Source organism: Homo sapiens, chromosome 17, assembly GCF_000001405.40.
Source record: "Homo sapiens chromosome 17, GRCh38.p14 Primary Assembly".
In the NCBI taxonomy this organism is placed as follows: domain Eukaryota; kingdom Metazoa; phylum Chordata; class Mammalia; order Primates; family Hominidae; genus Homo; species Homo sapiens.
In genome coordinates this window covers 38,991,069-39,002,532 of record NC_000017.11, presented here as the reverse complement: position 1 = coordinate 39,002,532, position 11,464 = coordinate 38,991,069, and positions in this window count along the sequence as shown.

The following is an 11,464-nucleotide window of genomic DNA, read 5'->3' as shown; positions in this document are numbered from 1 at the left end:
CCAGCAAAGGAGGTTTGTGTGCAAGAGCCTGGGGCCTTTGGGAACTGTGAGCAATTCACTCCGCTGGAACACAGGGTAGGCGTGGCTGGGTACAGGAGAGGAGTGTGCCAAGATGGGGGTGGGAGGAACATGGCAGCCACCCTGAAGAATTCTAATTCCTTCCTTTTAAACCAGTGAGGCGTTTTGATCAAGGGAAAGATATCAGATTTGCATTCTAGAACACTCACTCTGGAGGTCCCCTGGAGGTAGTGCAGAGGATGGATTCAAGGAGGATGTTATGGGAGGCAGGGAGACTAGTTAAGATGCAAATACAGTGGCCTGGGCAAGAAAAGGGGAGGGCCTGGAAGGGGCAGTGGCATTTGTAATGGAACAGATAATGACTATCTGTCTGTGAAGAAAGAACTGGTCAGCCTTAGAGGAAGAATGAGATGAGGAAATAGGGAAAGGAAGGGTCTAGGATGATTTCCAGGTTCTGGCTTGAACAGAAGCAGGAAGAAAAGCAGATATTAGTGAGGATGGGGAGTTGGGTAGCAAATAAGTTCAGGACACATTGAGTTGAGAAGCCTATGGGACATCCAGGTGGAGGTGTCCACTTGGAGACAGAGGTCTGGAGCTCCTGGGGAGGCCGACCTAGAGATAATCTTTGTGAGTCATCAACATAAGTCACCAACATGAGCCACCAGTGGGGATGAGTGTTTGGAAGGAGAAGAGAAAAGGGCCTCTCACACAGCCTGGAGGAGCACTGGCATTTAAGAAGAAGGTGAAAGAAGCCAGGTGTGGTGGTTCACACCTATAATCCCAGCACTTTGGGAGGCCAAGGCAGGAGGATCACTTGAGCCCAGGAGTTCGAGACCAGCATGGGCAGGATGGCAAAACCTCATCCTACAAAAAATAAAATTAGCTAGGTGTGGTGGCATGTGCCTGTAGTCCCAGCTACTCGGGAGGCTGAGGCTGGAAGATGGTTTGAGCCTGGGAGGTCGGGGCTGCAGTGAACTGTGATTGCACCACTGCACTCCAATTGGAGTGGCAGAGCAAGACCCTGTCTCAAAGAAAAAAAAAAAAGGAAGAAAGAAGCAGGTGAAAAGGAGGTTGTGATATGACCAGTTGATATACAATAGATAGTAAAAAATGTTAAAACTATTTAAAAACAAAATGACGTTTTTAAAAATTGTAAAAATAGGCTGGTCGTGGTGGCTCACACCTGTAACCCCAGCATTTTGGGAGGCCGAGGCAGGTGGATCACTTGAGGTTAGGAGTTCAAGCCCAGCCTGGCCAACATGGTGAAACCCCATATCTACTAAAAGTACACAAATTAGCTGGGCGTGGTGGCAGCTGTAATCCCAGCTACTCAGGAGGCTGAGGCAGGAGAATCGCTTGAACCCAGGAGGCAGAGGCTGCAGTGAGCTGAGATTGTGCCACTGCACTCCAGCCTGAGCGACAGAGCGAGACTCCATCTCAAAATAAACAAACAAATTAAATAAATAAAAATTAAGATACAAAAATTAGCTGGGCATTGTGGCATGCTCCTGTAATCCCAGCTACTTAGGTGGCTGAGTCACAAGAATAGCTTGAACCCGGGAGGCAGAGGTTGCAGTAAGCCAAGATCACACCACTGCACTCCAGCCAGGGCGACAGAGCAAGACTGTCTCAAAAAATTTTTTAAAAATGGCAAAAATAGAAAAGAAAAGGCGGTGAGGAGAGGCCAGAGAGGCAGGAGAGAGAAAGTGATGTAGGAGAAGACATAGAGCTTGAGGGGGTCCTGTGGGAGGATGGTACTGAGAGTGAGAAGAGCACCATCTCGTTTGCTTTCAGGGGGAGGGGAGATGGCTTCCCCCAGGCTGGTCAGAGAAGGCTTTAGGAAATAGAAAAAACTGAGAAAAAGAAAAGCCCTTTCAAGCTGAGAAATGGAAGGGGAGAGGTTTGAGTTCCTCTTCGCTGTGTTTTCTTGACTCTTGCTGCCATAATCGGTGCATTCACAGAAAATAAAGCCTAGTCTCTGGTGAAATGTGGAGAATCAGATGTTCAAAATGTTTCTATTATGTGCTTCAAAGCCAGACTCGCTGAAAATGGAGACTATCCAATGTGATCATGCTGTCCTTAAAAACATTCCTTTGATAAACATTAAACTGTTCTGTTTACCAGAAATGTTAACAAGGAAAATAAACAGGGCTATTTAGGAGTATTTCAAAATTAAAGTTTAAAACATAAGAGAAAACAGGAGGCACACAAAAAAGAAAAATCCAAAACTTCATGAACATTGCAGACCTCAGCTGCCCTTGAAATCTTTTTCTCTGCCTAACATTATGTAATTCTTCATCAGCCAAATATATCAGTTTCACATGCTAAAATTCACTGTGTATGTGTCATACTTAAAGGACATGGTATTGAAAGGAAACAATAATATAAAGCTATGTACAAAGGTTTTGGAACCAATGCACATATAGACCTGAGAGTTATCTAAAGAAACTTTAAGGATATTATTGAAAAATAAGTGAGGGGGAACCAGACGTCCCCCTCAGATGGTGTAATTGACCCAGGCGCCCTAACTGATCCTCGTGCTGAAAACAACTAAAAATTCTGGATCAAATACTAAAAATATCTTCCTCTAAATAAATGAATGAAAGTAAGGAATATTCAGCCAAACCATGTGACAACAGATACCCAGAGAGATAAACAGAGCAATTGCCAAACCAGTAGCTTTCAGTTTTTAAGACCTTAAGGAGCTCCAGGGACAGAAGACAGAACTCAAGGTCTGCCCAAGATGGAGATTCTAATTGCATATTCTCTCACACAGGTGAGACCCTAAAGCTATACCCTTACTATTAGGCTAAACTAGAAATACATCTGACCACAAGGGGCTATAGCCAAAATGGCCTTGGTTCTTGGTACTACATAAAAGTGAAAAAGGGCCAGGTGTGGTGGCTCACGCCTGTAACCCCAGCACTTTGGGAGGCTGAGGCGGGTGGATCACGAGGTTGGGAGATCGAGACCATCCTGGCTAACACAGTGAAACCCCATCTCTACTAAAAATACAAAAAATTAGCCAGGCGTGGTGGCAGGCGCCTGTAGTCCCAGCTACTCCGGAGGCTGAGGCAGGAGAATGGTGTGAACCCAGGAGGCGGAGCTTGCAGTGAGCCAAGATTGCGCCACTGCATTCCAGCCTGGGTGACAGAGCAAGACTCCATCTCAAAAAAAAAAAAAAAAGTGAAAAAGAACTCCTGAAAAAGATATAAAAGCTAGTCCTAACAATTTGCAGTTTAGTTTCACAGGGTCGAATCGTCTGAAAAGCCTCCAGCAGAGATTTTAATTTAAAGTGGTCCTAAGGGCCAGGTGTGGTGGCTCACGCCTATAATCTCAGCACTTTGGGAGGCCAAGGCAAGTGGATCACCTGGCAAGTGGATCACCTGAGGTCGGCAGTTTGCGACCAGCCTGGCCAACATGATGAAACCCCATCTCTACTAAAAATACAAAAATTAGCTGGGCTTGGTGGCAGGCACCTGTAATTCCAGCTACTCGGGAGGCTGAGGCAGGAGAATCACTTAAACCCAAAAAACGGAGGTTGCAGTGAACCAAGATGGCACCACTGTACTCCAGCCTGGGTAACAAGAGTGAAACTCCACCTCAAAAATAAATAAATAAATAAATAAAATAAAACAAAGTGGTCCTAAGTACCTAAAGTGCTAGAAGAAGCATATGCAATTCTCTCTAGAAGAACCCACCTTTATCTCAGGCCTCAAAAAATTCCCACATATAGTTTTGATAAAAATAACCACAGAATCAAAAATCACAAAACCGAAACAAACTAGGCACCATGAGCAAAAGAAGCAGAAATATAGACAGCAGAATCAGACCTACAAAGACTGTAGATATAGAAATTATCAGAAACATGACATAAAATTACTATTTTAGAGCTTTTAAGAAATAAAAATGAGGCCAGGCATGGTGGCTCACACCTGTAATCCCAACACTTTGGGAGGCCGAGGTGGACAGATCACGAAGTCAAGAGATGGAGACCATCCTGGCCAACATGGTGAAACCCTGTCTCTACTAAAAATACAAAAATTAGTTGGGCATGGTGGTGCATGCCTGTAGTTCCAGCTACTCGGGAGGCTGAGGCAGGAGAATCGCTTAATCCCGGGACTGCGGAGGTTGCAGTGAACCCAGATGGTGCCACCGCACTCCAGCCTGGGTGACAGAGCAAGACTCTGTCTCAAAAAAAAAAAAAGAAAAAGAAAAAGAAAGACAGACAAATGGAATTAATAATAAAAGAATATACAAATGACCAAGCAGTTTTTTTTAAAAAAAATACAATTCTGGAGATGAAAAATATAGTAATAAAAATTTTAAATTCATTGGACAGATTTAATAGCAGGTTAGACACAACTGAAAAGAGAAGGCAGTTCAGAGGAAGAAGGGGTGAAAAAAAGCAGAGAAAACAGAGTGAAAGAAATGATGCAGATGACAGCACAGTGAGAAAAATAAATGGAAAATGAGCCGGGCACTGTATCTGTAATCTCACTGCTGGGATTATGGGCTCACACCTGTAATCCCAGCACTTTGGGAGGCCAAGGCAGGAGGATTGCTTGAGGCCAGGAGTTTGAGACCAGCCTAGGCAACATAGTGAGACCTAGTGTCTGCAAAAACACAAAAATTAGCCAGGTGTCGTGGTGCATGCCTGTAGTCCCAGCTACTCAGGAGGCTGAGGCAGGAGGATTGCTTGAGGCCTGGAGGTGGAGGTTGCAGTGAGTTGTGATTGCACCACTGCACTACAGCCTAGGTAACAGAGCAAGGCCTTGTCAAAAAAAAAGAAAAAGAAAGGGGAGGGCAGGGGAAGGGAGGGGAGAAGGAAGGGAGAAAGAGAGAGAGGAAGGGAAAGAAAGAGAGAGAGGAAGGGAAAGAAAGAAAATAAATGGAAAATAAGATACCCAGATTCAAGAACCTCAGTAACTTCATAACAGAAATAAAAGGAAATCCACATTTCAACACATTATAATAAAATTGCAGAGCACTGAAGACAGAGACTAGATCTTAGAAACAGACAAAAGAGGCTGGGCGCAGTGGCTTATACCTGTAATCCCAACACTTTGGGAGGCCGAGGCGGGTAGATTGCTTGAGGTCAGGCGTTCAAGACCAGCCTAGACAACATGGCAAAACCCCATCTCTACTAAAAATACAAAAAATTAGCTGAGCGTGGTGGCAGGCGCCTGTAATCCCAGCTACTTGGGAGGCTGAAGCAGAATTGCTTGAACCCAGGAGGTGGAGGTTGCAGTGAGCTGAGATTCATGCCATTGCACTCCAGCCTGGGCAACAAGAGCGAAACTCCATCTCAAAAAAAAAAAAAAAAAGAAAAGAAAAGAAACAGACAAAAGAGTCAGAAAACTTCAGCCTGAAACAATTTGATTGACAGCTGATTTCTCAAGAGCAACAATAAAAGTAAGATGATGATGGAATAATACCTTCAATGTGCTGAGGAAATTACCATCAACCTAGAACTCTATACCCACTGAAAATATCTATAAAGAACAAAGGAGAAGAAGGAGGAAGAGGAGGAGAGGAGGAGGAGGAATATCAAACAAATAGAACCTAAAATCATTTGCTACCAAAGACCCTTTTCTTAGGAAATTCTTAGGAAACGACAGATAAACAGATAGATGCCAGGCACAGTGGCTCACATCAATTACCTCAGCCTGAAGTAACTACTTCAGGCAGAAGGAACGTAACCTCAGATGGAAGGAATGAGATAAAGGAAGGAGTGAATCACATGTGAACTCTGTATTTTATCTGATCTGCTACTGACTACATAAAACTACAACAAAATCTACAGCTAACATCTAAAAAGCTAACAAGAGGGTGTCCACTGCCATCCGGACCCCCAGGGCCACAGGGTAGGCCCAGCCGTGGCTTGGTACTCCCTGTGGGCCTCAACAAGGGTCATAAGGTGACCAAGAGGGAGAGCAAGACAAAGCACAGCCCCCTGGCAGGCATGGCGCCAAGCACACCAGGTTCTTGTGGGGCGTGATCTGAGAAGCGTGGGCTTCACCTGAAACAAGCCAGCAACTTGCCCGCGGAGCTGTTCCAAATATCCACGGGAGATCTGGCCCTCACATTCATCAAGAAAAGGGTGGGGACATACATCCTCAGCAAGAGGGAGTGGGAAGGACTGAGCAGGGCCCCAGTCTTCATTAGGAAAGCAGCTGCCACAAGGACTGAGCTCCTCCTCTGTCTGTGCATAATGAAACCTTGATGGAATAAACCAAGACAGAATAAAATACACAGCCCGTAGCATAGAAGTCAGAAGGTGAGCGATTGGTGTTCAAGTGTTCTAAGGCCATTGTGGTGTATGGGAGAAGGTAAAAGGATAAAGATTTACTGTGGATTTTGGTAAGTCAAGCATGCACAATAAATTTTTAGGTCAGTCACTAAAAGATGAGAAATAGAATATTTAGCTTCCAAACTAGTAGAGGGGGAAAAATAAGAAAAAAATGAAGTGATGAAAAGTAATTGATCAAAAAGAAGAGAGAAGAAAAAAGTAAGCATAAAAAGGAAGAATCAAATAGACAATAAAAATATGTGTGTGTTTATATATATATATACACATACATAAACTTTCAAATGGTTTCAAACACACACACACACACACACACACACACACACACACACACTTTCAAATGGTTTAAATATATATATGGCCAGCTGAGTGGCTCATGCCTGTAATCCCAGCACTTTCGGAGGCTGAGGTGGGTGGATCACCTGAGGTCAGGAGTTTGAGACCAGCCTGGCCAACACGGTGAAACCCCGTCTCTACTAAAAATACAAAAATTAGCTGGGTGTGGTGGCAGGTGCCCATAATCCCAGCTACTCAGGAGGCCGAGGCAGGAGAATCGCTTGAACCCAGGAGGCGGAGGTTGCAGTGAGCCGAGATCATGCCATTGCACTCCAACCTGGGTGACAAGGCAAGACTCCATCTCCATATAGATATATAATGTATATATGTATGTGTGTATATATAAAAGATAGATGATTGATTGACAGATAAACAGGCAGATGCCAGGCATGGTGGCTGACATCAGTTGCCTCAGCCTTTTGAAAGGCTGAGATGGGAGTGATTGCTTCAGGCCAGGAGTTTGAAGCCAGCCTGGATAATAGTGAAACCCTGTCTCTACAAAATATTTTAAAATTAGCTAGGCACAGTGTCATGCACCTGTAGTCCCAGCTACTCCGGAGGCTGAGGTGGGAGGATCACTCCTTGAACCCAGGAGTTTGAGGCTGCCGTGAGTTATGATTTCACCACTGTACTCCAGCCTGGGCAACAGAGTGAGTCTTTGTCTCTAAAATTAAAAAAAAAAAAGTAAAGGTAAATAGACAAAGCAAAAATGATAAAATGTTAACAATTGTTGTAACTAGGTATTTGTGTGCTGATTGTACTGTTCTTTCACCTTTCATATACACTGACAATTTTTTGTAATGAAAAGTTATAGCTGGGTGCATTGGCTCATGCCTATAATACTAGCATTTTGGGAGGCTGAGGTGGGAGGATTGCTTGAGGCCAGGAGTTCAAGACCAGCCTGGTCAACACAGTGAGACACTGAATCTAAAAAAAAAGTTTAAAAAGTAAAGTAGCCGGGTGTAGTGGCTCACGCCTGTAATCTTAGCACTTTGGGAGGCCGAGGCAGGTGGATCACCTGAAGTCAGGAGTTCGAGACCAGCCTGGACAACATGTTGAAACCCCGTCTCTACTAAAAAATACAAAAATTAGCCAGGCGTGGTGGCACACGCCTGTAATCCCAGCTGCCCGGGAGGCTGAGGCAGGAGAATCGCTTGAATCTGGCAGGCAGCGGTTGCAGTGAGCCAAGATCGCACCATTGCACTCCAGCCTGGACGACAAGAGTGAGACTCCGTCTCGAAAAAAAAAAAAAGAGAGAGAGATACTTTATAATAGGATCAAATATATGAAGTACAGAGTAATAAATCAAACAAAAGATGTGCCAGAGCTCTCTAAGGAAAAAATAATAAAGCTTTATTAAAAGATTTAAAGAATACTAAAATAAATAGAGCACTGTGTTCATGCAATGCAAGATACACATTTATAAAAATGTCAGTTCTCCTTAAATTGATCTACAGATTCAATGCAATCTCAGTCAAAATCCCAACAGATTTTGTGAAGAATTTGACAAACTTATTCTAAAATGTAAATGAAAGTACAAAAGACCAGGAATAGCCAAGACAAAATAAAAGGACTTCCTTTCCAGATCTAGCCTCTTTAACAGTCAACAATGATTACGGAAGTGTGATATTGGAGCAAGGTCAGAAAAGTAGAGCACTGAAAACAATAGAAAGCCCAGAAATACACACCTGCCTCCATGCCACTTGACATATAACAGAGGGGGGCTTGTGGTTAGATAAGTGCAATAAATAGCACTAGGACATTGAGGATCTATACAGAAAAAAACAAAACGAACTCTACTTTTCACCACATACAAAATTCAGTTCCAGGTGAATCAGGAATCCAAATATGAAAAGTGAAAAATAACATAAAGCTTTTAGAAGATAATAAAAGAGAATATTTTCATGACCTCAGAATAGTGGAGGATTTCTTTTTCTTTCTTTCTTTTCTTTCTTTTTTTTTTTTTAGACATCGTCTTGCTTTGTCGCCCAGGCTAGAGTGTGGAGCGTAGTGATGCAATCTCGGCTCACTGCATCCTCCACCTCCCAGGTTCAAGCGATTCTCCTACCTCAGCCTCCTGAGTAGTTGGGATTACAGCTATGTGCCACCATGCCCGGCTAATTTTTGTATTTTTAGTAGAGACGGGGTTTCACCTTGGCCAGGCTGGTCTTGAACTCCTGACCTCCAGTGATCTGCCCACCTCAGTCTGCCAACGTGCAGGGATTACAGGTGTGAGCCACCACGCCCCACCAGAATAGTGGAGGATTTCTTAAACAGGAGGCAGAAAGGCAATGTTGCTCTCCAGGGCACTTTCGGCAATGTCTGGAGACATTTTTGGTTATCATAATTTGGGCAGAAGGGTGCTATTGGTATCTAATGGACAGAGGCCAGGGATGCTGGTAAACCTCCTACAATATACAGGACAGCCCCCAACACACACACACGCGCACACACACACACACACACACACAGAGTCACACACACAAAAAAAACAAGGAATTTTCCAGCCCAAAATGTCAATAGTGCCAAGATTGAGACATTCTACTACGTTCATACTAAAGAACATCTGTTCATGAAAAGATACCATTAAGAGACTAAAAATTATCTAGGATACAGAAAGAAGCACAATCAATAAAAAGACAACACAATGGGAAAATGGGAAGACATGGGTATATCCTTCAGAAAAAAGGAAATCCAAAGACTAACAAACCAAACATACAAAAAAGATGCCCAACCTAAGTAGTAATCAGAGAAATATAAATTAAAAATCATTGGCCAGGTACAGTGGCTCATGCCTGTAATCCCAACATTTTGGGAGGCTGAGGTGGGAGGATTGCTTGAGGCCAGGAGTTGGAGACCAGCTTGGGTAATGTAGGGAGACCACTGTCTCTACCAAAAAGAATTAGGCAGCCATGGCAGTGTGCATCTGTAGTCCCAGCTCCTCAGGAGGCTGAGGCAGAAGGATCACTTGAGCCCAGGAGTTCAAGGTTACAGTGAGTTATGAAAGTAACACTGCACTCCAACATCGGTGACAGCAACTCTAAATAATAATAATAATAATGAGATACAATTTACAACTATGGGACAGGCGCGGTGGCACACGCCTGTAATCTCAGCACTTTGGGAGGCCGAGTGGGCGGATCACCTGAGGTCAGGAGTTTGGGACCAGCCTGGCCAACATGGTGAAACCCCATCTCTACTAAAAATACAAAAATTAGCCGGGTGTGGTGGCGGGCACCTGTAATCCCAGCTACTCAGGAGGCTGAGGCAGGAGAATTGCTTGAACCTGGGAGGCAGAGGTTGCAGTGAGCCGAGATCGCGCCATTGCACTCCAGCCTGGGCGACAGAGCAAGACGCAGTCTCAAAAAAAAAAAAAAGAACAATTTACAACTATCAGATTGGCAAAAAATAAAGTCTTACTACTAAATGTTAGGCAAAGGTATGGAACAACAGGAAATATATACTGGAATGAGAGTATAAATTGTTACAACCACGTTGATAAACAGTTTGTCAGTTGAAGATGTTCAGTTTCTAAGACCCAGCAATTCTGTTTTTAGCTACACACCCCAGATAAATGCTTCTGCACTTGCACCAGGAGATCTTTTAAAAATATATACATTAAAGCATTATTTATAATAACAAAATAATGTAAACAACTCAGACATTCCTCAATAGTAGAATGGATAAATCATGGTACATTCATTTATTGGAATGCCATATATCAGGAACAATTAGTAAGTTTTAGCTACATATATCGATATGAAAGACCCTCCATATTCTCACACTGCTGTAAAGAACTACCTGAGGCCAGGCGAGGTGGCTCATGCCTGCAATCCCAGCACTTTGGGAGGCCGAGGCAGATGGATCACCTGAGGCCAGGAGTTCGTGACCAGCCTGACCAACATGGTGAAACCCCGTCTCTACTGAAAATACAAAATTAGCCAGGCATGGTGGTGCATGCCTATAATTCCAGCTACTCAGGAGGCTAAGGCAAGAGAATCGCTTGAACCCAGGAGGCGGAGGTTGCAGTGAGGTGAGATTGCACCACTGCACTCCAGCCTGGGCAACAAGAGCAAAACTCCGTCTCAAAAAAAAAAAAAAAAAAAAAAAAAGAACTACCTGAGACTGGATAATGTATTTTTAAAAAGAGGTTTAAGTGACTCACAGTTCCACAGGCTATATAGGAAGCATGGCTGGGAGGCCTAAGGAAACTTACAGTCATGGCAGAAGGCCAAGGGGAAGCAACCACCTCTTACTGCAGCGGAGCAGGAGAGAGAGAGCAAGCGGGGAGGTGCCACACGCTTTTAAACCATCAGATCTTGTGAGAACTCACTCACTATCACAAGAACAGCAAGGAGGAAATCCACCTCCATGATCCAATCACCTACTACCAGGCCACTCTTCCAATTCCACAGATTTGCGTAGGGACAAAAATGCAAACTGTATCGGGGGGTCTTGCAAAAATATTGTGAAAATGCAATATTCAATAAAGAAGCAAGCTACAAGAGTATATATACTGTGTGGTTCCACTGAAAAAATTTATGAGACAAAATTAAATAATAAACAGGTTAGAGATACTCTATAGGAGGTAAAAATTATTTTTAGAATGATTATGGTACTGCATAAAGACAGAAAAATAGACCAATAGAATAGAATAGAGCCCAGAAAAAACCCTTGCATATTTAGTCAAACGACTTTCAACAAGGATGCCACGGCCTTTCAGTGGGGGAAAGGACAGTCTTTTCAACAAATGGTGTTGGGAAAAACTGGACATCCACATGCAAAAAAAATGAAGTTGGA